Source organism: Homo sapiens, chromosome 6 (genome assembly GCF_000001405.40).
Source record: "Homo sapiens chromosome 6, GRCh38.p14 Primary Assembly".
Lineage (NCBI taxonomy): Eukaryota > Metazoa > Chordata > Mammalia > Primates > Hominidae > Homo > Homo sapiens.
In genome coordinates, this window is record NC_000006.12 from 146642320 (window position 1) to 146669456 (window position 27137).

Consider the following 27137-nt stretch of genomic DNA (forward strand, 5'->3'; position numbering starts at 1 on the left):
CTATGTCAATTCCTCAAAGAGGTATAACTAGAACCACCATTTGACCCAGCAATCCTATTACTGGCTATATACCCAGAGCAACATAAGTCATTCTACCATAGAGACACATGCATGCGAGTGTTCATTACAGCACTATTCACAATAGCAAAAACATGGAAGCAACCTGAATACCCATCAATGACAGAATGAATAAAGAAAATGTGGTACATATACACTATGGATACATATACACCATGTGGTACGTATATACTATGAAACCATAAAAAAGAACAAGATCGTGTCTTTTGCGGGAACATGGATGGAGCTGGAGGCTATTATCTTTAGCAAACTAATGCAGGAACAAAAAACCAAATACCACACATTCTCACTTCTAAGTGGGAGCTAAATCATAAGAACTTATGAACACAAAGAAGGAGACAACAGACACTGGGATCTACTTGATTAGGGAGGCTGGGAAGAAAGAGAGGAGCAGAAAAGATAACTATTGGGTTCTGGGCTTAATACCTGGGTGATGAAATAATCTGTACTACAAACCCCTGTGACATGAGTTTACCTGTGTAACAAATCTTCTTATGTACCCCCAATTATAAAATAAAAGGGTTCTTTTAAAAAAATTAACAGACATGAAAAGAAACAGAATCAAGCGACTGAAAACGAAGAGGAGAAATCAAATAATAGAAACTGATCCATGAACATCTTAGATTTTGGCATTGTTAGATAAAGGACTTTACAACAACTAAATATTTGCAATAAAGGAGGGGAAAATGATGTGGGGAAACCCCAGAAGTGTAGCAACAGCTCCTGGAAATTCAGTCAATTTTTCGATGACTCGCTTTTTGAGACTCTTGCCTGGATATTGACGTACATTTTGTCTTCATTCAAATTATTCCAGTATCTTAAAGGTGACAATAAACTACATCTTCCAGATAAACATATATACTTATAATGTTCAAACTGTACACAATGCCCTCAAATATAACCTGTTTCTCAGGCCACACCGGCCTTAGGGTAAAAACGTGATTACTGTGAAAATCACAAAACAGTATTTATTTCTTCCTGTCCTTATTAACTCAGGTGAAACTTAGTCGCTCTTTTTCCTGTATAGATAGTTTATATTCCTCAGGCATTTCGTTTATAACCTGTCAATTTTAATATTATTTTTTGTAAGGACCTTTATTTCCCAGTATCCTATAAATTCTTAGAACTCTTACATAGTACTTGCCCAAAGCATTTTTAACTTACTAGATTGCTAGCATCTGAGAGTACGCATTTGGATATTATTCTTTCTCCAGAGCTCACTAACTGACCCATAATAAGAATTCAAAAATTAGTGAATTAATTGCATTCTTGGGCATTTATCCCAGATAAATGGAAACTTATGTTATGCAGATGTTCACAGCAGCTTTATTGGTAATAGCCCAATCCTGGAAACAGCCCACATGTTCTTCAATAAACAGTTGGTGAACAAACGTCTTTACATGAAATACTACACAGCAATAAACAAGAACAAACTATTGATACCTGAAACAACTTGGATGAATCTCCAGAGAATTATACTGACAGAAGAAAAGCCAATCCAAAAGATTTCATACTTCCTTACAATTATACCACAAATGGTGGGATTTCATCTATGTAACATTACTGAATGTTATATAGACATTCAGTATAAAATGACAAAATTATAGAAATAGAGATCAGAGAAGTTGTTGCCAAGTATTAGGGATGGAGTATGGGATGGGGAGTGGGAGCATAGGTATGGCTATGAAAAAGCATAGGAATGGTACTTGTGGTAATAAAACTGTTCTATATCTTGACTGTCAATGCCAATATCCTGGTTGTCATACTGTATTACAGTTTCACAAGATGTTACAATTGGAGAAATTCGGTAAATGGCATATAAGAACCCATTGTATTATTTCATACAGTTGTATATGAATCTATAATTATCTTAAAGGAAAGAAATTAATTTTAAAATAAATAAATGAAAATCAGGTCAAACATCCAAGTTTTATTTATATATAATCTTGTTTATGATTCTTACAGTTGAAAATTAAATAAATATTTTTAAATCTTCTCCATTCAGGTAAAAAAAATTTTTTCAATGGAGAATGTGGCCATATCTGGCCCATCGTAAATTGCTTTCCTGCCGTATCTAATATAGTTTCCACAGCATCTCATGCTTGTTTAGGCTACCTCCTATACAATCAAAATGCTACTCAACAATCAATGAGCATATTACATGTAATCCATGAGTATATGTTAATTATATACAGTATTGTTAAATTCAGTATTCTTTAAATACTCCATGAATTAGCTCTTACAACAAGAACACAAACTGCTTTGTAAAGGCTTATTGATTGACCAAATCTATGCACTTATTTCTTTTTTATTAAAATTGTTTTTTTATTTTAATAAAAGAATATGCAGAAAAAACTCAATTTATTTTTATATAGCATTTTTTTGAGGACCCTGAAGGAAAGATTGAGTTACCACCATCCTTGAAAATTTATTCCTGGAAACGTCCACAAGATATTTTATTTAGTCAGGTAAGAAAGTTTTTTCTATTAAATAAAATACTTACTATGTGGATGTATTATCCTACTGATAAAAATTTGCATTTTTTGTAATGATTTAGGGTAATTTTCTCTTGTGGTATTCAGTAAAAAAGTAATTGCTTTTTGGCAACTAATCAAAACTAAATGTTTATTAATATAGTTTAATGTTTCTTGTACTGGCTTCTAAGAGATTATTGAATTTTTGTTTAGAACCTTGATTTTTCTTCTTCCCTCCAAAATGCTAACTTATAACTTAAAATGTTGTATGAAGTTGTTCCTTAATTTCTGATTGACACACTTCTTTCTGCTTCTTTGCATGAACATTCATAGCATGGAGGTCTGTTTTCTCTGGTGCTTATTAGCATTAATATTCCAGCCCAAGAGTTTTGCACATAGATACCTCTATTTCAGGGATTCTTGAAGCATTTTCCAGAGAACACTTTTATTTCTGGATCTCATGCCCAACTACGTGAATCATATTGACTGGAATGTCACTCAATAAACTTTCATTTTTAAATAGCACTTATAGAGATTAAGAGATTAAATCTTCAGACACCCTAGTCTATCCTCATAACAGCTATATGTTAGTTTGAATATATTTAGCTTTTCCAAGGGTTTAATTATGACTAATGCCTTTTTTCTTCCTTGAATCTGCTATTACTTTCACCTAATGCATAGGAAACCAGTGGGCTAAATTATTTAGAAGTAGTCAAATTGTTGTAATAAAGCTGATTGTTCTGTACATTTGTGGAATCCATTAAAGCTATGTATCTATATGAAATTTACTTTATTCCTAAAAGTTTTACCCATTAGAACTGCTACTAATTCAAGAAAATATGATATGTCCACCATATTTTTCAAGTACTCTTACTAGTTGAGTAAATCAGATGAATCTAAATTCAAAGATTAAATAAGATGCAAAAATAATATCCTATCAGCCAGAGCATTTTTTGAATGCCTACTTATAAGATATTTGAAATAAAATAAATAGAATATATATGAGCCATGCTTTTAAGTTACTTATAGTAACTTAAAGTTTTAGATAACTTTAAGTTTTAGATAACATTGACATGAAGAATATGAATTCAGTGATATTAATATAATGTATTTAATATTAATGTGTTACTAACAATATTCAGTCTCTGCTCAATATAAGTACATAGCTTACATTTCATACAAATAAAGGGTGTGAATTCCACAAGATGATGATGTTGTAAATTTGGATAAGTAAAAAAGTTTTTTCCCTGAGGTTCCCTTGGTCAAGGAGGTGGGTCTGCCCAGTAATTTGGGGTGGCCTTAGGATGTTACTTTTTAGTATGTATTCCCCCTTTCCTTTTTGGGCAAGATATGCCAGAGGCAGTATCAATGGTCAAGGTTTTATTTTGGCTCATATTAATGTCAGGCTGGTGTGGCTACCTGTGCCAGGCCATCATGTTCTTTGGTGGCACCCCTATAGCCAAGGGACTTAGAGTCAAAAGACTTACAGCCAATTAACCGTTTTAAGCAAGATAGGAATAGAGGTAGACAGGTGTTTATTAAATATTAAAGCCCTCTCAAGTAATATAAGAGCCCCAAACTAAAGTCAAAAAGCAAGGTTACAAAACTGACCTGTCTTTAAGTTTTATTGTGTTGAGCTATCAGCTGTTTAGGCATCTGTGTGCCCAGGAGTCAAGACTCTGTAACTTAACAGCAGAAGGATTAGTTAATAGCACCTGAAAAGAAACCTTTCAGTGGGGTGAAGGTAGTGATACTAGAGTCCATGACCTGACTGGAAGTTGTAAAAAATATTTTACAACCCTGTAGTGATTAATTTTTATAATTTTGATAAGTTTCAGCAACAAATCAGAGGCTGAATTTAGAAGAATTTAACTTCTGATGACATTTGTCAAAGATGTTAAAGGGCTCAAAATATTTGATCAAAACAGAATCACAGGCTGGCTATGGTGGCTCATGCCTGTAATCCCAGCACTTTGAGAGGCTGTGGCAGGTGGATCATTTAAGGCCAGGAGTTTGAGACCAGCCTGGCCAACATGGCAAAATTCCATCTCCACTAAAAATACAAAAATTATTCAGGCATGGTAATGCATGACTGTAATCCCAGCTACCCAGGAGGCTGAGGCATGTGAATCACTCGAACCTGGGAGGTAGAATTTTCAGTGAGCCAAGATTGCGCCACTGCACTCCAGCCTGGGTGACAGAGTGAGAGCCTGTCTCAAAAAAAAACAAAAAACAAAAAACAAAAAACAAACAAACAAACAAAAACACAAAAAACAAACAAACAAAAAAAACCAGATTCCTGGGTCTGATAGTTAAAAGACTTTAAAGGCAATATATAAGGTTACATGGATGTAAAAACCTTAACTCTTTTTAGTCTCAGGGTTTTAAGCAATCAAAAATCTAATAATAATAATAATATAGGAATTATCTTGATAAAATATAAAATCTTGTTTATTTTAAAGCCGGTTGCCCAAAAAGCAAAGAGAAATCTTTTTTAGTGTGACTGATTTTCCTTACAGAAAGCCCATTTAGATAACCTAGAAGTCAAACATGATGAAAAAAAGTACTTGAAGTGAATCAGACACAGGAAGAGTGTGTTCAAGGTTATGAGTATAGTAGGGGAATACATAATTTTTAGTAACTACATGAGAGGTTTTCTGATTTCATTGAAAAATTTAGACATATTAAAAAAGCGAAGAGCACAGAATCAAGTTATAGTTTGGGAAAACATTGTGTTTATTCTGTATTTATTACTTTTATTTTATTTTTAAGATAAAACATTTTAGCATCAGGCCACAACAACAACTAGAACCAGATGAAAAAAGTTACAGGATCTAATGAAAAAGCTGAAGGAGAAAGTTATCATCTTAGTCCTTCTGAAGGGGAGAAAGAGTTGAAAGCAGCAAAACACAACAAAGTTGAATTTTTGAATATGACTCTGATAAGTTTTTAAAAGAAACAAATAATAGAATTTAAATAAAAACTTATAGTAATTTTATTGAAAGAAAATAAATACCTTAAGAAAACCTTTCTTTAACATAAGGTCCAATTTTAGAAAGACTCTAGAAAATAATTTAAAAATATATATAGTCAACTTTATCACATACAAAGGTTTTAAAAATAAATTTCCCTTTATGAACATTGTCACAACTTACACAGACCATATATGACACATTTGGACTTTCTTGTTTTATGTGGTCTTTTTAAAATAATAAGTCATTTTATTTTAGGCCAAACATTTACCATCTGAGTTTTTTACACAAAATTATTATTTTTATAACCTTTTTTAACCAAAAATATACTTTCATATTTATATAAATCTATCTCTCTTTTATTTACCTTTTTTTACTTTATTTTATTTTTAGAGATAGGATCTCACTATGTTGCCCAGGCTGGTCTTGAACTCCTGCACTCAAGTGATCCTCCTGCCTTGGTCTCCCAAAGTGCTAGGATTACAAACATTAGCCACTGTGTTCAGCCACTGTATTAGTCCATTCTCACACTACTATAAAGACATACCTGAGACTGGGTAATTTATGGAGAAAAGAGGCTTAATTGACTCACAGTTCCACAAGCTGTACAGGAGGCATGGCTGGGGAGGCCTCAGGAAATTTACAATCATGGCAGAAGGTAAAGGGGAAGCAAGCACTTCTTCACATGGTGACAGGAGAGAGGGAGAGTAAAGGGGGAAGTGCATATACTTTTATACCATCAAATCTCATGAGAACTCACTCACGATGATGAGAACAGCAAGGAAGAAATCTGCCCCCATGATCCAATCACCTTCCAATGGACTGCTCCCCCGACGTTTGGAATTACAATTCAACATTAGATTTGGGTGGGGACACAGACCCAAACCATATAAGCCACCTTTTTAAATAAAAAACTTTTAAATAACCCCTAAATTATATAAAATTATTTTTAAATAAGAAGAAAATTTATAGAATTATATATTAACTAAAATTTATATTTTTAGTAATGTTAAATTTTCATGAAAACCTAAGCAGCAAGAAATCCTTAACTGTTTATCAGATGTTAGCATTTTATAAATGAAACCATTTTACAAATTTTAGAAACACATATATTATATTAAACCCATTTTAGTTGGAAATGACCCAGATATCCAACAAGCATCCAAAATCATTTTAAGATTTTAAATTACACAAAAAGTCTTCCTACAAGCATTTATCTCATTTTTATGTACTCAATTTTTTATTTTTAACAGTGTATAATAGATTACTTTTGAAAACTGAGATATTAAACAAAGGTAGTCATTATTTAAAGTTTTGTTTTTTTTTTTTTTGCTAAACATTTATGAAGTCTGTAAACATCGGGTATTCACCTAAATAAGAATCTCAAAGTGAAATACGTGGGCATTTTGCTGATAACTCAGAAGATTTATCCATTTTTATTGAAACAACAATATTAAGTTAGTCTTATTTGTTTTAAAAAAAAGTCACACAAAGATTATTTTGTTTTTGGCTGGGTTGATAGTCTCACAATATTTGTGCCAAACTCTGACACCTTAAAATAACTAGCAAAGGCAAACAAACATAAAACTTACCTAGACAAAAATGTATACTGATGATTCTGAAGACATTTTTATTTTTATTTTTATTTTACTAATTTTTTTTTTTTTGAGACAGGGTTTCACTCTTGCCCAGGCTGGAGTTCAGTGGCATGATCACATCTCATGGCAGCCTCAACCTCCTGGGCTCAGGTGGTCCTTCCACCTTAGCCTCCCAAGTTGCTGGGACCATAGACAGACACCACCATGCCCAGATAATTTTTCTATTTTTTGTAGAGACAGAATTTTGCCATGTTTTCCAGGCTGGTCTCTTAGTTCCTAGGTTCAAGCAATCTGTCTACCTTCACCTCCCATAGTGTTGGAATTACAGGTGTGAGCCACCATGACTGGCTTTATTGTACTAATAATTTTAAAACAAGTTTTATTTACCAAAGATTTATATGAACTTGAAAAGCATCTGGACTTATTTTATGAATACTCACTTACTCATAAGCCAGTTTGGTAGTATGTTAGACACAACGAATAGCACAATACACATACATATACCTAAACATATCTAAACGTGTATATGTATTATATATGTACACACACACAAAGATCCAATAGTTTTTATCTAAGAACTCTAGCCATGAGACAGCATCAAAAACTCACTGCCCTATGAAAGATAGCTGGATCCATGTTATTTTTTAGAAAATTGGGACCTGTCCACATGGCTAAACTTTCTTTGCCCTGATAGGTAATCCTATAATAGCTGTGGACCAAAATTTTGGGTAAAGCTGTTGTCATTTTTAAAAACATGTTTTATCCTTTTGTCTTCTGTTTTAAATGAGTTTCCAATGTTTACATTTTAGCCAAAACTGGATGAACTGTATAAGAAAAATAAAATGTCCGAATAACCTTGAAATCATAAGTTTTATTTCAACACCAGTAGCTTAATAACAGCAGATTCAAAACAGGCAGAAAAGAAAAGAGAAATAGAGAGCTTTAGAAGACTCTCCTTAACTCTATAGTTGCAGGTTAAGTATTTGAGCTCTGACTTTTTTTATTGGAATTTGCCCATCAGTTTGTTTCACACAAACAAGCCACAATATGTAACCAGCTGGAGTCCCAGGTAAACTAGAAAATAATTCACATGTTTTTTTTTTTCCTGCACAAAGCTTGACACAGATACAATAAATACTCCTGAGTCCCTCCCACCAAAAAAAAAAAAAAAAAAAAAAAAAAAAAAAAAAAAATCAGGGGCCAGGATTTTGGAAATAGTTTCTCCCCTAGTGAGGAGAGGAGAAGCCTGTTTTGCTGAATTCTGACAATCCGATGGACCTGGTCTTGGCTGGTGCAATTGAGACCATTTCAAAGCACCCTCAGAGGTAGGGGCAAGACTAAACAGACACAAACGCCAACGGATCTGACGCAGACAGAGTGCTCCAAACTAATCCCTGAAAGGGGTTACTGGAGAAATGTCCTCAGACCTTGTCTCAAATGCTGACAGCACCACAGTTTAATTGTCCTGCATTAAGTCCAGATGTCACAGAAGCCAACACAGCAGCACAGATGACATACACTAAGTCTAGACAGCTAGAGAAACCAGATGGCAGCGACAGAGGATTTTTAGGTGCATTCCAGTTGACTTACCCAGTTCTTGAAGCCTGTTGACTTCCCAGATGTTGCTTTCCTCACACAGACAGAGAATGATAGCAAGAGATGATGCCATGAACGTGAGGGAAGGGAAATTCCCTGAGACAAAGGCAGTCTTGGTAGCTGCTGGTCCCAGGTATGGGGACAACCAGCCATGAGCTGCTGGCATTTGCAAGTGGCCCCTGCCCTGCCTGGTAGCATTAACAAATAATCCCTGGCACACTGCTGCAGGCAATTGCTCCACTCATTGGAAACTAGGCGTACAGGCTGAGTCACTTGAAACACACAGTGTCTCACAAAGGGCACCAAATTAGTAACCGACTCAAATTTGGCCGCTCACTGCCCAGAGGCCAGAACACGAGAAACAAGATGTGGTGAAAGGAAAGTAACTTTATTCAAATGCTAGAAGTTGGGGAATGGCCAGGCTTATGCCCTTAAAAGACAATTTTTGCTCTGGGGGCTAATTGAGGGAGTTTAAGAAGGAAAACTTGGTAGGCGAAACATGTACCCGCGGTCCAGGAGGATGCAGGTCTGCAAGTCTCTTCCAATGGCTATCTTGAATATTTGCCCATCTGCAGCTCTTGTTGATATCATTGATATCATCTTGACTTTGGCCTGATAATGGTAGACTAATCGTTCATAACTCCACTTAAGCAGGAGAATTCTGCAGCTGGGTCTCTATGCCTGGTTTATTTCAAAAGTAGCCCCTGGGATTTTTAAGCAAACATGTAATTAGATAAGTGAGCACTGTGCATGGAGATGCCTGGTGGGAAAGGAGGGAAACTAAGTTTTACAGTATATTTTATGGCTAACAGCAAGAAAGGAAAAAAAGTTTCAAAATGCATTTTGAAGCTAAGCTACTCGATTACACTGTTATAAAATACCTTAAAATCCTGACTTTAGGATAGCAGAATAAACATGAGCCCTTCCAACCAAAAAGGTTAACAAGTTCTGATCACAGAGTAACTTACCAGACCTGTTTATTTCTGACAACTAGAAATGAGTGGCCCAGACCCTTGAGCATTGAATGTGTTGAATAGATTAGGATGTCTGAAGATTTATCCTGTCCCGGGTACAGGTATAGGCAGTAAAAGTGTGAAAGTGTGCCATTGTAGAGACCTCTGCCTTAATATTTGTTGTCTCTTACAAACTTAATTTCTACTTTTCACTTGTCAGCAGGAGGCTATCAAGACTAATACTTCAAACTTGAGGTATCTAATACTTATTAATGTATAGCTTATCAACTTTGGTAATCACTGAAGTATAGGGGCATTTGAGAAGCGTTCCATCACAGTCAGTCAAGCCAGAAGAAACTATGTTTATAATTTATGATCTGCAGAGTCAATTCAAGCCTTTAAGGTAGTTTTAGGTAAATTTTTCTCTAACTTTTTTTATTGACTTTTCAAGATGCTGCTTGTATAGATGAGTGAAAGTAATTGACAGTGTTACTTTTCCTAAAAACCTGATTCTCTAATCAAAACTGTTTTCATGTTAATTTGGTATGTTAAATATATATACTTGATATGAATTATAGCTCATTTTAAAAAAGTTACAATTTGTATTTCCCTATTAGTTTTATATTATTATTATTTATTGGTACCTGATTTAGAAGTGTACTAATTAAATAATGACCATTAAAATAATTTTTTAATCTAACAGGATATTAACTTGAACAAGATTTTAAAAAGCTATCACAATCTCAAAAAAAATTTTAACACTAACAAAATAGACAATAATCATTAAATGGGAGAAAAGCTATCATGGCTAATATTAGTCATCCAAGATGAAGATATTTTCCCTCCTATCAGACGTTAACTAAGTTTTCAGGTTTAGCTTCAGTGGTTGATTTAGATTTTAAAGCAGTGGTCCCCAACCCTGGTCCATGGACCAGTACCAATCTGTGGCCTGTTAGGAACCGGGCCACACAGCAGGAGGTGAGCAGCGGGCGAACAAGCAAGGCTTCATCTGTACTCACAGACGCTCCACATCACTTGCATTACCACCTGAGCTCTGCCTCCTGTCAGAGCAGCAGCATTAGATTCTCACTGCAGTGTGAAACTTACTGTGAACTGCGTGTGCATGTGAGGAATCTAGGTTGCATGCTCCTTATGAGAATCTAATGCCTGATGATCTGTCACTGTCTCCAGTCACCCCCAGATGGGACCATCTAGTTGCAGGAAAACAAGCTCAGGGTTCCCGCTGATGCTACATTATGGTGAGCTGTATAATTATTTCATTACATATTACAATGGAATAACAGTGGAAATAAAGTGCACAATAAATGTAATGTGCTTGAATCATCCCCAAACCACCCCCAACTCCTTGGTTCGTGGAAAAATTGTCTTCCATTAGACTGGTCCCTGGTGCCAAAAAGGTTGGGGACCACTGTTTTAAAGTACTTTTTAATCTCTCAGTTTGTGTATCTGTTCATGCTAAGTTTATCTGCATAAGGAACAGAAAATGAAATATCACATGTTCTCACTTATAAGTGGGAGCTAAATGATGAGAATACATCGACACATAGAAGGGAACAACACACACTGGAGCCTACTGGAGTGTGGAGGGTGGGAGGAGGGAGAGGATCAGGAAAAATAACTAATGGGTACTAGGCTTAATACCTGGGTGATGAAATAATCTGTACAACAAACCCCCATGACGTAAGTTTACCTATGTAACAAACCCACACATGTACCCCAAACTTAAAAGTTAAAAAATAAAAATAAAAATTTACCTGCATATATATGTATTTTACTCCTATAGTAAAATACTGTATCTTATTGGCATTAAATTACATTTTTATCACCTATAGCTCTAAGAATTATCTTAAGGAATGTGTTTATTTCTTATTTCTCTGGTTGTGAGAACTGAAATCAGGGTGGCCTATTTCCAGCACCAACCAATTTATGCCTAGTGTTCCATTATTGGAACGCTAAGCATGTGGGAGTTATTTATATCCTACTGCTCAAGGTCATTGCCAAGGTCTGATTGCAAAAATTCAAAAAATTGCAACTTCAGGCATAAATGGATTAAAACTATTTCATTAAATTACTTTTTTATTATTTTTCTTATGGAGTAATATATACATATATATTTTTTTCAGACTCCAGTAGTTGTGAAAAATGAAATCACGTTTGACTTATTTTCAGCAAATGAACATTTACTCTGCAGCGAGGTATGTACAGAAATATGAACTAAAGTCTCACCATGAAATGACTTCCAGTCCTGCTTAAACCATTCCCAGACAGTCGATTTCAACTCTCCCTTGCTCACCTTTAAGTTTTGGTATTATATATATATATATATAATACCAAAAAATATATATGGGGGTGGGTGTTTGAGACAGAGTCTTGCTCTGTTGCTCGGGCTAGAGTGCAGTGGTGTGAACACAGCTCGGTGCAGTCTCAACCTCCCGGGCTAAAAATGATCCTCCCACCTCAGATTCCTGGTAGCTGGGACTACAGGGATGTGCCATCTCCCCCAGCTAATTTTAAATTTTTTGGTAGAGACGAGATCGCACCACATTGCCCAGGCTGGTCTTGAACTCCTGGGCTCAAGCAGTCCTCCCACACGGCCTCCCAAAGTGCTGGGATTACAAGCATCAGCCCCTGTTCCTGGCCAAAAATTGTGTATATTTAAGGTATACAATTTGATGGTTTGATATACATTGTTAAATATTCATCACAATTAAGCTAATCAACATAACCATCAACTCAGTTATTATTGTGTCTGCCAGTTAATATTGTGTATTATTGTGTGTGTTATTGTGTGTGTGTATATGTGTGTTAAGAACACTGAAGATCTATTCTCTGAGCACATTTCAGGTATACAATACAATATTGTTAACTACAGCTGCATTGTTGCAAGTAAATCTCCATAACTTATCTTTCAGAAGTAAAACTTTGTACCCCTTACCAACATCGCCCCATATCCCCCTCCTTCCAGACCCTGGTAACCACCGTTTCTCTATCTGTTTCTCAGACTTTTGTATTTTTAGATTCCACATATATGTGAAATCATGCAGTTATTTGTCTTTGTTTGGCTTATTTCACTTAAGGTAATGGTATTTTACACACCAACATTCAAAAGGGAAATGAAGTCTCTTTAACTGAGTTTAGTGAGCCTCTGTTCTCCTGCCCCTGGTCTCAAAGTAGCTGTATTCTCTCCCTCTGGGCTTTTCTCCTTGAGATCCACATGACCAGCAATGGACATGAAGTGGCTGCCCATCCTGCCCTATGCCATGTCAAGAGGAGGGTACAGTGATGTTGTATGATGTGATAGTGCAAGGGAAATTGGGGTGTACTTGGATTACAATACCTCTTCCAAACCAGCAAGGTTTTCAGCACAGCTGTCCTACTTCCTGTGGGAACTCATCTCCCCACCTCCTACTCCCCACCTCCCTGCCCCATGTTGGGTTGGGATTTATCCATCACAAGCAGGCCTGTTCCACTCCTCTATGTTAATTAAATCAGAAACAAGAACTTTTAAAAATTATTTTCTGCTAAGACTCAGAGGAGTGGGGCATAGTCAATATTGATTAAAATACTTTTTCTTATCTTCAATATCTTGACCCATATTAAAATCAAAATATTATATTTCTTCAACCAGTTATACATATTAGTATAAAATTATCTCCAAATAATTTTATGTTTTAGTATAAAATACACCTATTTAATGAATCCTAATCCCACTTAGACTTTCGCTTTTCATTTTTCAAGGGAAGGAAAGTATAAAATATTCTACAATAAATTTTCCAGATATACAGGATGATATCTGTTTTGTCTTTTTCTACTTTATCAAACATTAAGAATTTCCTAGATAACTCAAATTAAGAGAAACATAAATCTTGCAAGGTCAATATTAAATATTTAATTTCCTTATAAACCAGGCAGTTAAACATGAGATGAATAATTCAGAAAATCAGATACTACTGAGGTAACAATGGCTTCATTGAACACCCACTGTGACCTAGAGATTTCTTACATACTGTTTCTAGTCCTCACAAAAAAAAATGTGAAAAATAGCTACTATTATCTACATTCTACAATGAAGAACTGCAACTTAGAGAGGTGGAAGCAACTTTCCCAGCAGCAGAAGGCTGTGAAGATCTGAAAGAGGATTCAAATCCTGATCTCTGTTTCCACTCTGAAGTCCATCCACCCACTGGGCCTTGCTGCCTGTTAAAAACACTGCAAGGGGACGTTTTACTTAGAGCATTTCAACAGCTACAGATCAACCCATGAAATGTGGGATTTACAGTATATTTATGTGTCTACCCCATTTTAATTCTTTCACATCTCATTCCTTCTCTAATTTGTCCTATTGACATACAAGAGATAATATCCTTATCAAATATCTAACATTTACAAAAGAGTAGCTTGCTCATTTGTCACAATTTTCAGAAGCTTTCTCTCTCTCACACACAAACACACCACTCATATAAATATCAGTGTCAAATAGAAGTCGTGCCAAATCACCCACAGTTTACTTCAGCAGACAGCTTTCTTAGCTGAGTATGTTTAGTATGAGACATTTTAGTTTGTATTGTGACTGTATTTCCCAAAAACAAAAGCAAGACCTATAACTTTATTCTGTAGATCAGAAATGAAAGTATGGAATACATTACATGTATAATTTAATATTATTCTTGGAAGTGGATTTTTTTACTGTTTTTATCCCTAAATTACAGTACCTACAACTGAAAAATAACCAATTAACCCTAATGTTTTTTATCTCTAGCTGATGAGATGGATTATCAGTGAAATCTATGCAGTGTGGAAGATCTTCAATGGAGGAATTTTGAGCAATTATTTTAAGGGGACTTCAGGGGAACCTCCTCTTCTCCCCTGGAAGCCCTGGGAACACATATACTCTCTGTGCAAGGCTGTGAAGGGTCATATGCCTTTGTTCAATAGCTATGGAAAGTATGTTGTGAAACTTTACTGGATGGTAAGTCCATTTTCGTGTGCATAAAAACTCATGAGTCTTTCATATTGAAATATACTTGTCCTGGCATGGTGGCTCATGCCTGTAATCGCAGCACTTTGGGAGGCAAAGGCCAAGGCAGTGGATCACCTGAGATCAGGAGTTCGCAACCAGCCTGGGCAACATGGTGAAATGCTGTTGCTACTAAAAAGACAAAAAATTAGCTGGGTACGGTGGTGGGTGCCTGTAATCCCACCTACTCCGGAGGCTGATGTGGGAGAATTGCTTGAACCCGGGAGGCAGAGGTTGAGTGAGTTAAGGTCTCACCATTGCACTCCAGCCTGGGCAACAAGAGCAAAACTCCAAAAAAAAAAAAAGAAAGAAAGAAAGAGAGAGAAGGAAGGAAGGAAGAAAGGAAGGTTGCCTTGCACACCATTACTTAGGCTAGTACAAGATAATGCAGTTTTTATAGGATATCAATTGTGTAGCTACAGAGAGAAACTGTCCTGCATATGTAATTTGTGATTAATGAGAAACACAGTAGCTTCTCCTGTGATGTCAGTCCCATGGGCACTTTAAACAGGTTCTGCCTAGACCACTGAGGTATGGCCACTCATTGTAGATGCTGGTCCTGCCACTGCCTCTGCACTCTCATGCTGAGGCGAGCGGGGCAGGCAGGTGGATGCACCGGGCTTCCACCTTCCTCTTTCTTCTCTGATGTGGTATCAGGGTCATGGGCAGGAGGCAGTGCTAGCCCATGGTCCAGTCCTCTTCTGGCTTTTGCTGTAGCTGAGGGGCCTGATCCCATCAGTTCTTGGTCCTGAACTTGAGATTTGTTTTCATGTAAGCAAATCTTACCCTGAGACAGGAAGATGTTACCTCTGCCTAAAAGGAAAGCAAATAGAATAGTAGGAAGTACAAACAGAGGATCCAAAACCCCTTATAAATATGGCAAAGCAGACACACACTAAATTAGCAATGCTAGATCATATCAAACTCTTTGGGTTTTTCTTGGCCCTTGTCACTGGAAAAGAATGTCCTCCTTGAACATTTAAAGGAATGGGAAAGTATTAAAAGTTAATAATTCCATTATATATTTATGAAAATGTAACTTTTTCTTTCATAGGCCTGAGCCATCTAGCTTCCTGGGATGGGGAATGTTGAAGGGCCAATAATGAGAAATTGTTAGGATAATTACAATGGGAAGGGCAAAGGGAAAAAGGTAATATAGCTTCTAATATCCAAAATTGGATTTTTGTTTTTTAAACATCCACAGCAAGACAATTGGCCTTGAAATTTTGTTAGAAGAGAAAATAACTTTCTAAGTTACTTTATCTTATTTATTTACCAATCAAGAGGACTATTATCTAGACTAGACTTTAAGTTTTAAATCTGTGCAGAGGAGCAAGCAGAAGGGTGATATTAAAAAGGTGAAAAACCTAGTGGATAGTGTTGAGGGAGTATAGAAAGAAGGTACGCAGAGGAAAAGCGAGGAGATAAAATGCCCTGGTTCCTGTCCCACATTTGTCTAAACTTGAGGTGGGAGGAAGGTCAAAACTATGAAGTGTTTTGAAACATTGAACCAACCCTGTTGATTTATTTCTCATTCTCTCTTTCTGCTTCCTGACATCCCTCCTTGGTTTTCAAATTTCCTCCTGCATAGGAGTTAACATTCATTAACATCACTTTCCATTTTGCAAAGAAAATGTGACTTATTTCTCCTTAATCATACTGATTATTCACAAGCTCAACTCCACTTGATTCAGAAATTTGTTTAAAAATGTATTGAGCCCACTTTGGAAATCTCAGTCTGGTCCAGTCATTTAGCCCACCTCTAGATAATTTAGCCCTTTAGGGAACGATGTGGTAGAGACTGGACCTCAGCTCCACTGGCTCCCTCTGTTTCCTCAGTGGTCTCATCAGAGGAATGCCTACAGAGGATGCTGTGAGCACTGACATACCAGTTCCCTATGAATTATTTTGGTAGGCATGTGATAGAGAGGCAGCTGCCTGGTTTTCTGATTAGTAGAATCTGTTCTCTCTAGGCTTAGGGCAGAAATTTTTATTTCTTTCTACCTGATCCCCAGGTGATAGGGCTGAGTCAATATCTGTGTACATATTAACATTAGTAAGAAGTTAGAGTCAATTCTGTCTTACATGCAAATCCTATGTGGTTGGTTTTTTATCCGTTTCTTTCCTTTCCAGACACACTCAATTTGATTTTGATTTTTTTCTCTTCCAATTCTAGTTGAGCACTTGTACATGTCTGTCATTTGCTTCTCTCTGCAAGTATTTGGGAAACATGTTTATAAAATATGCATTATTACTTCTACTTCTTGATTCAGTACAATACACTACAGATTCATCTTATACCCTACATTTATTTTCTTTCCCGTTTCCCATCTTATGAGACATGATGAGTCTTCTTCTCACTGTTTTTCTTCTTTAGTTTCTTAAAGCTTTCTTACCTTTTTCTTATTGGAAATTGATTTTTCTTCTCTGCCTTATCACAAATATTCTTCTCCCTCATTCACTTTGTCCTGTAAAACATTTACCTTTATCACTTCTTTGAGGCAAACCAACCTCTCAGAGCCTCTTGGCATGACATTTAAAAATTCTGATTTTCACACCAGGTTATCATTTTTTCTATGAAAGTATTTTTATTATTTCCAGTTTGGATTCTAAGTAAATTGTATCAAGTTCTTTGACCTCAGCCAGATAGAAATTTATTGAGTAGCATTAAGAACAGGGTTGTGACACAGAGCAGCTCTCTCCCGTCTTTCACCTGGGAATGATGATACTAATGCTGGGACACATATCATCTCGTCAAGTGCCTTCCAATGGCAGCATTCCTTTGGGCCCCCGAAAGAAGCAGGTTAGCCATTGCTCTCCGCTTGAAATATGTATTGCTGATGGCAGCTTTTCTCTGAGTGTCTCTGTGCTTTCATTTGTTTCTGATAAACAGAGAAAACACACACATTAGGACCAATAATTTTTCCCAGTTGCCATCAATATGTTTATATAAAAATGCATTTGCTTTATTTCTGATTGAGCCTTATACTGCTTAACCACAATGTTATTCTAGAATTCAGAGTTTCCTAATTTTGTGGTACAGAAACCCCCCAACATCAAACTGGCTGTTGTACTTCTTAAACATCCACTTCCCATGCCCCACTCCAGACCTCATGAGTTTGAATTTCCAGGGTAGAGCCTGCAATCCTGCATTATAAGAAAACTCTCTCATCCAGTGACATTTTTGTTCATTAAATTTGAGGAACAATGTTTGCAAGATATAAACTATGACAAAATTATTTTTCTATCATTCAATTACTTTGTTCCAAAATGGAAATGCTTTATTTCATTATATGTAATATTATACATGCTTTTAAAACAGGAAATTCAACTACTGTTAAAATGTTCAAAGTATGCAGTGAAAGTTCCCCGTAATTTTACCATATTTAATCACAGCAAATGATTTATTTATATCCTCCTAAGCTTTCTTCTATTCTTATAAACATACATAAAGCTATTGTACATAATTTATAACAATAGGGTCATAGAAATGTATTATTCTGTACACTATTCTTTTCCCTACACACAGTCATTTTCTATGCTAATATATATTGATCTACTTTGTATTCCATTGTGTGAGATATGTAAATATAATATATATTGCTAATTTGATATTGGTAAACATTTAGGTTAGGACCAGTGTTTTACCAAAACAAACAATGCTGTAAAATTTCATCTTTATGTATATAGTCTTTGCCCATTTGTACGGACTTCTTTTTCTAGGATTTCTACCATATGGAGTTATTCCATCAAAATATTTGCAAATTCTTAATTTTTGATAAGTATATTCAAGTTACTCTTGTATTTTAATTTGTCTGTATAGAACATTTATATTTGATGTAATTGGAATTGAAGTCTGTGATTTTATTCTTTGTTTGTTCTTTGTTACCTTTCTTATTTTGTGTGTGTTACTTTGTATTTATTGCATTCTTAATCCCCTTTCCTTTACTCCTGTATGTTTCTTGGGCATTCCTTAGGATTCCATTTTGATTGACCTATAGTGCTTTCAAGCAAATCTCTTCACTTTATGAATTAAAATATACATGCATAGCTTATCACAGTCAACTAGTATCATGATTTTACCACTTGAATTGGAATATAAATACTTTACCACCATTTAGTCTTCTTTATATTCCTCCTTTTCTAATATAGCTTTCTTTTCCTTTTTCCTTTACTTTTTTTTCTTTTTTTCTTTTTTTTTTTTTTTTTGGAGATAGGGTCTGACTCTGTCGCTCAGGCTGGAGTGTAGTGGCACAATTATAGCTCACTGCAGCCTCCACTCCTGGGATCCAGTGATCCTCCTGCCTCAGCCTCCCAAGTAGCTAGCACTACAGGTATGCCATCATCACGCCTGACTAATTTTATTTTTTGTAGAGACAGGGTCTCACTATGTTGTGCAGGCTGGTCTTGAATTCCTGACCTCAAGTGATCCTCCTGTCTCGGCCTCCCAAAGTGTTGGGATTACAGGTGTGAGCCACCACACCCAACCACTGATATAGTTTTTTTAAACATTTCCTGTGTATATATTGAAAACTTCATCATAAATTTTGCTTTTAAATTCAAACACAATATAAAAAATTTGAAGACAAGAGTACCACATTTAGTCATATGTTCATTTTTTATTTTTTAAGTAAATATTTTAACTGGCATGTAAAATTTTTCCTTTATGCTTTCTCATTCTTGATGTTCCATTTTTCCTTTTATTCTCCTTTCTTTTTATTTCTGAAAAATTTTCTTTCGCAATTCCTTTTGAGACACTCTAATGATGACAAATTATCTTATCTTTCCTTTATCTGAGAATGTGTTTATTTTACTCTTATTCCTAAAGAATATTTTCCCTAGTGATATGATTCTGGGTTAGCAGTAATTTTCTTTCAGCATTTGGTATTTAGTGTGCCATTAATTTTCCAGCCTTCCAGAATTTTCCTCCAGGCCAGCCAGAATTATTCTTCTGGCCTCCCTGGCTCCTGGTGAGCAATCTGTCCTTCCCCTCTAACAGGTCTTTTCTTGCTGCTGGCTTTCAAGCTTTTTTCTTTTGTCTTAACTTTTAAGAAGTTGGAATTCGATCTGTCTGGCTGTAGAATTCTTTAAGTTTATCCTATTTGGTTTAGTCTGAGTTCCTTGAGTTTGTAGGTTTATGTCTTATGACAATTTGGGAGAGTTTTCAGCCATTATTCCTTCAACTATATTTTTTGCCCCACTCTCTCTTTCTCTTCTTTTTTTCAGTGGCAACAATGACATGAATATTATATCTTTTTGCATTATCCGCACAGGTCCCTGAGCCTTATATGATTGTTGATACTATATTTTCCTGTTATTCGTAATTTCTATTGATCTAATGTCCAGTTCACTAATTTCTATGCTATCTGCATTCTGCTATTGATCTCATCAATTGAGAGTTGCTTTTTAGTTTAATTTTAAGCTTAAAATTTCTATTTTTATGCCTTTATATCTTCCATTTCTTTGCTGAGAGTTTCTATTTTTGAATTTGTTTCAAGAGTGTTCATAATTGCTTGTTGGAACATTTTTGTGAGAATTGCTGTAAATTTCTTATTTAATAATTCTAATTTCTCTGTCATTTTGGTTTTGTGGCCTGTCGACTGTATTTTCCCATTGAAATTGAGACTTTTCTGGGTTTTGGTATGATAGGTAATTTTATACAGTTTCCTGAATATTTGTAGTGTTATGTTTTACAACTCTGATTGCTAATTAGTTTTATATTTTAGCAAGTAGTCAACGTGTTTAGATTCAGAAGGCACATCCTGGCTCACATTTATCGGCTGTGTCTCAAATGCCAGTTTAGTTTATAAAGCCTCTGATGTACTATTCTGGTCTGCCACTTTTGTTTGCTACCCAGATAATAAGACTTCATTCCACAATCTTCTTATATATAATATATATATAACTTAATAATGTTATATATTACACATATAAATATATATGTTATAATGTATATAATATATATCTTAATCTTAATAATATATATCTTCATAATTTTATATAATCTTAATAATATAGATCAAAATAATCTTATTATTAAGGTCATATATTTATATAATTATATAAATATGTAATTATAGTATAAATATAATAAATATATAATTATATATATAATTATAAATATATAATATATATTTATTATATATTATATATTATATATAATAATATTAAGGTTTTTTATATATATATAAGTATATATAACCTTAATAATATTAGTCTTGTAACAACTAAGGCTACTATACCAGAATACTATAGACTGGTGACTTATAAACAGCAAGAATTTATTTTTTATATTTCTGGAGGCTGGGAAGTGTGAGATCAAGGCACTGGTAGATTTGGTGTCTGGCAAAGCCCTGCTCCCTGGTTCATAAATGGCTGGCCATTTTCTTGCCATAAAATTCCATGGTGGAAGAGAAAAACTTTGGTTTCTTCAACTTCTTAAAAGGGCACAAATCCCATTCATGAGGGCTTTACCCTCCTTTTTACCTAATTCTATCACTTTGGGCATTAGGATTTCAACACATGAATTTTGGGGAGAAACATTCTGTATGTATACACACATAGACACATGCACGCAAACGTATTTTTTATATGTTCAGGATAGATATGTTCAATATAGATATACATGTTCAGTAATCATACAGTATTTATCCTTTTGCATCTGGCTTATTTCTCTGTGGTTTCTTGTTGATCAAGAAATTAATTAGGAGCAGGAATAATATGAGAATTGGAAGTGTAAGATCAGTGAGGATACATCAAGATAAGCAATAATTACTAAAGTTATATTTGGAGAATTTGTATTTTGACTATGTTAAGTTATTTGATTATGTCCAAGCTTATCCATGGTTGTATAATGTTTTGGTTCTGGTCCTTGAAACACCTCAATTTCCTGCATTATGCAGTAAGGGACTCCCAAGACTTTGTTCACAAGACCTCATAAGTAAAGACAATATTGATATAGACATGGGTGAGCTGTGATTATGCTAAATAAAGCAATAAGCTAACATATTCAACCAGAGTAGTATTGAAATCCAGTATCTCCGTCTTTCAGTGTAAGATGCTAAAATAAAATTGGAAAACGGTAAATAGTAATGTCAGCCACGTGCAATCATTTACGAGAGAAAAGACTGTAAGCCATTGATGGTATTACATTTCTTTCATCTTATTTTTAGGGTTGCTGGAGAAAGATAACAATTGATGACTTTTTGCCTTTTGATGAAGATAACAATCTATTGCTTCCAGCTACAACTTATGAATTTGAACTGTGGCCAATGCTTTTGTCTAAAGCTATTATCAAGCTGGCAAATATTGAGTATGTAATGACACTATCACTCACATGAATAAAAAAAGCAAACAAAAACATTAACTATACATTTGTATTGCATAATTTATTTTTTTAAAATTAGCTAAAAGACAGCTTTTTCCCCTAAACAATGTAATGCTCTAGTATAAAATCAAATACGCCAAAACCACTGATTTTTTCTATTAGGTTAACAATAATGCAAAATTCCTCCAAGAAAAATATACCCAAGAATTATTCTATGTTCAGTGCTGTCTTACTATGAATGGAAATTTGATCATGGAAAATGATGTTTTGTTTAATAGGAGAAAAAATTGTTTTGTGGGAGAAAAATATTGGTTCATCTAAATACTGAATAATATATCCTGAAATCTAGTTAAAGATTTAGGTTCTGTATATGCAGCAATAATTTACTAATCTTGAAAAACCTGAACTTTTCTGAAAGATGTCAATGTACGCTTCATGATTTTGGTAACATTGCTCACTTTTGATACATTCATGATGAAAACTACTCATATTTTCTTCAGTATTCTTACAAAATTGGTTTCTGTCTTATATTCCTGCCTGACTTGTGCACCAACATATATGAGACACATCTGCTATGTGCTATTCCCTCAGCTTACACTTCCAGAGAAAAGGAGTCATACCATCCTGGCCCTAACAATGCAAAAAATCTTTGATGATCGTGTTGGAAATGCATGGCAATTTTGCCTCATTGCTCACTGGAAGATGCTCACATACATTGCACAGGCTGGGATTTTATACACGTCCACCTCCTGCAGTTTGTCAAAGATTCTCGATATTTAACAGGACACACCCACATGCTTTAACAGTACATGTTAGAGATTTGCTCACAGCTCAGCCCCCTCCCCTTCTATAAACATTGCAATGTTAGTCAGAAGTCAGGCCTGCTTTGTGTGGATTTTCTTTAGGCACAGCTTCATTTTTCTCTCCCAAGGCTACAAAACAAAAACAACCACTCCTACTGCCATCCTCTTCATATCTGTTTTTTCCTTACCAGCCCTCAGTTTTCCTTTGGGAATTAGTTTCACCCAGCTTTTAGCACTTAATTGCAATGATTTTCATAAAAACTCAGCCCAGATCTTTGTAGGTAGCTGAATAGCACTAAGTATTCATACCGGTGGCATGTTCATTTATTTGGGAAAAAAAAATGTTCTGAATGTTTCTAGTTCTCAGACATAACTTGAAGTTCTGAGAATCAGAGCTGCTAGAGCAGTGAGGCATTGAATACATGACCTGGATAATTGGAGTGGTATTTTATCTTTCTTAAAGCTGTAGTTCAGTAGAAATTTATAGCAACATAAGTATTAGGGTTATTATTATTGTTTAAAAAATCCAATTAGTAAATAAAGCAACAAGCTAAGTGTAATACATTTCTTGGGAATTCTGGTGGAAAGTTTCCCTACATGGTACAATTTATATTTTTCCATAATTTTTTTCAGATTTTTACAGTACATAGTGATTGCTTTTATATGAGGATTAGCTTACTACATTTTCCAAATTAACACATAGTAATTTCAATGTCAATGTGAGATATGCACAGAAAAGAGCATTATTTCTATTTGATTTGCAAAGTCACTTCATAAATTTGTCCAATGAGGAGTTTAGACTAGTCTGGGATCTATCCCAATAGACACTTATTATCTTTGAAATACGTAGACATATAGAAATTTGTAATCCATAAACAACAAAACAGTGCACATTTTAAAATAATGGCATATGTGACTAAGATAGTAAGATTTCTTTCTGAAGAAAGGCACACATGTGTTGGTAATGCCATTAACACTACCACTGACGGATAGTCAGCTGAAGCCGTGACTCCCGGGCAGAAGGGAGATATGGCATTTTTGCATGTAAATGTAAATAGACTAATAACTTCAGGGAAAAAAATAAGAGGTCTAAATGAGAATAGTGATACTTGGTTAATCATATCCTCGTTTTACTTTATGCTAAGCTGACAGATCCACTCTTCTGTACAGGACAGAACAGATGTTTCTGGTTTCTCCACAGTTATCTAAGGATTTCTGATGCCCATCTTGACTTGCCATAGATGAGACTGATCTAACACACAGCTTCAAAGACATCTTAAAATAATTACTGAAATCAGAATGATAAAAGAGACTGTTCTGTTTTTAAAAGAAGTATACAAAAATGGATTATATTCTAATTATATATTTCATAATATATAATGTGAATATATTTCATGTATATAGCATTAATATTACTTTTAGATCTTAAAAAATAAAGCATATAAACATGCCTTGCAAATACAAATGAAATTAATTATATTATAAATCCTACTTCAGTGTTTTAACAAATAATTTGGCTTCTGGGATAGTATTTTTTAATACAGTCTATAATGAATAATCAGAATATATTGCTGTTTATTAATGATTCCTAGTTCTTATATATCTTTATGTGTTTTCAAATTTTGCTACCTGTAACATTATGCATGTTCTTTTTTAGCATCCATGTAGCAGACAGGAGAGAGCTGGGGGAGTTCACGGTTATTCATGCGCTCACAGGATGGTTACCAGAAGTCATTTCTCTTCAGTATGTTTGACTATTAAATTGCTCATATCTATTTTTTTTATCTTCCCAAGATTTCTTTAAAATATTCCTAGCCTTTAAGAAAATTTCAAGAAAGGTCATGTTTTGCAAAATTTGGGGGAAAATATCGTTTTGTAGTATTATATAAAGTTCCTTGGGAATTTCAGGGTAAATTCTATTTCCTTATGTAGGAGAACAATGACCCCCATAGGTTCTTTGTTGGAACCGACTCCTGTAACAGAAGACACATTAACAAGAGAAAAACACACAGAAGTTTATTACCATGTGGATTTCCATGGGAAATCTACAACAAAGAACAGTCAATTTTTACAGAAGTGACAAGACAAAAGAAAATGACTTTGAGCCTCTACAGGTGGCAACTTGTGGGAAGGCAAATAAATGATAGATAAAGGCTAGTTATGAAAGGCTGTTCATGTAGATTCCTCTGGTACAATTCCTCAGGCCAGTAAGGGTCCAAAGCTGTCTTCAGTGGTTAACACCTGTTCTCTCTGGCACAAGGGAGTGAGGGGCAGGATACCTCTTGGTTTTTGTAAATCTATATCTTGCTTTTAGGCAAATAGAGGGAAAACAGAGTTTCTGTGTATCTGCTTCTTCATAGGGATTGCCTGTAGCTCAGCAGTCCTTCATATTTTGGGGTGGCATGTGCAGGTCTCCCACACTTATATATATACTATGAATTTAATCTTTAAATATCCGATGTACAAATATTTAAACAATGGTAATTATTTATTATGGTAAAACATTTGCAAACTTCCCTTTACACTTATAAACCTGTCACACTTACTTCAATATAGAAACATAACAGCAACTTTTAATTGGCCACATCTATATGGAAATAATCATAAGAAGACAACTATTATGCATCAAGTATTTTAGTATATTACTTCTCGTTTAAAAATCACAGTCCTGAAAGGATAGTCTTATTTAATCATCCATATGACCCCATCAACTAGGTGTACATCATTTCAAATGAGGAAACTAAAGCTCTCAGAGGTTGAATTCCCCCAAACTAGGAACATGTAAGTCTTGCTGGTCCAAAGCCCACAGTCTTTCTTTCATGTGATTCTAGATATAGAGAAATTGCTTCTTTATGTCCAAAAATAGCTATTAGGTAAAGAATAGAATAGAGACATTGCTCAACTTAGTGCTGACTTATAATTTCACGATCGTTTTATTTAATACATAAGGAATATAGATGCACCGTTTTATCATTTTACCATTGACATTTGGAAACAAATCAAGATAAGGTGCATAGAAAAGAATTATAACAATAGATTTGAATATACCCTTAACTCAGATACTGACTTTTACAAGATGATTAAATCTACAGTACAGTTATCAACCTGGACCATCTCTGATCTTTGACTGGTAATAGGAAGCTGCAATTCCCCAGGGGCAATAGAGATTAGAGGAGGTTGAAGACAGGCCCTAGTAACTTGGATTCTGCCATCTTCACCATATTTTCAGCAGGATAAACTTGGGTGTTGCTTTGTTCACATAAAAGTATTTTCAGGGAGAAAAAACTGGAGGGTAGGAGCTGATCTTGTTTTTATCTTAGGAAAGGCCAAGATAGCACTCTTTTATATCTTCTTTTGGAAACTTTTCCTATTATCTAAATGACTTCCTGACATAATGTGTACAATGTTAGTGAGAGAAGTAGAGAGAAAATGAGATTTTAAAAGTATGGAGCTCTATAAATTTTTATACTTAGTGTTGATGGAATGCTTACAGTTTTTCCTGTGCAATTTTCTCTGTGCAATAGTCAGTAGAGATACCAGAGACAGGAAATCATCAGAATTCTACCAGAGGATGGTAAAGAAACAAGAGACGAGAATAATTCACAACTAGAAAATTCATAAAATTTTGCCTCGGAAAATCAAAACAGAGTATCTTCTAATTTTCCATGTAATAATAGAAGCAGAGTCAGTGACATGTCTGAGTGGGAATTAGAAATCCAACCACTTCAAAGGACTCTTGTTGGCACGTGTCTCTGATGCATGGTCTCTCTGTGAACATAGCACTCTGCCACCCTGTCTTTAAGCCTAATCATCCAAGAAGTTATATGGTCTCATTCCGTGGTGTTTGAATAGGTCTTTTTCATAGTGCAGCATATTTTATGTGGTAGATGGGAAATACAACCTAGATTTTGGATTCAGAAAGGTCTGTTCCTATCCTGACTCAATTATTTGCTGGTTGTGTGATGCCATACAACTTAACAACCTCTTAAACATCAGTTAATACTGTATAATGTTCCAGAGCTGTCATGGGATCAAATGAAAAAACAATAAAATGTGCTAAAGGCCACTCTGCTGGGTAGTGGAGATCCAGGGATGAATAGGAGGCAGTTCAGGGAGTCGAGCAGATCAGAGATGCACAGGGAAACCAATTATTATTTTCCAGTCACCAGTTCATTTCCCTTGTTTTCCTCAGGAAAAAAAATCTTAATAAATGAGTGGTTTGTACACACTGTCTTCATCTCCTCAACTCCCCGTTTCTTCTCATCTGACTGTTTGACCTTCCCCGTCCACCACACCAG

General features: G+C 35.1%; 1 protein-coding gene across 1 annotated transcript in view; it reads left to right on the top strand.

Moving 5' to 3' along the window:
* Window positions 1-27137, top strand: part of ADGB (androglobin) — a 216491-nt gene that overhangs the window by 43348 nt on the left and 146006 nt on the right. Inside the window, exons 3-7 of the mRNA NM_024694.4 lie at window positions 2454-2546; window positions 11816-11887; window positions 14452-14661; window positions 21882-22021; window positions 24497-24583. Coding sequence (NP_078970.3) covers window positions 2454-2546; window positions 11816-11887; window positions 14452-14661; window positions 21882-22021; window positions 24497-24583 — 602 coding nt within the window. The remainder of the gene's footprint in view (window positions 1-2453; window positions 2547-11815; window positions 11888-14451; window positions 14662-21881; window positions 22022-24496; window positions 24584-27137) is intronic.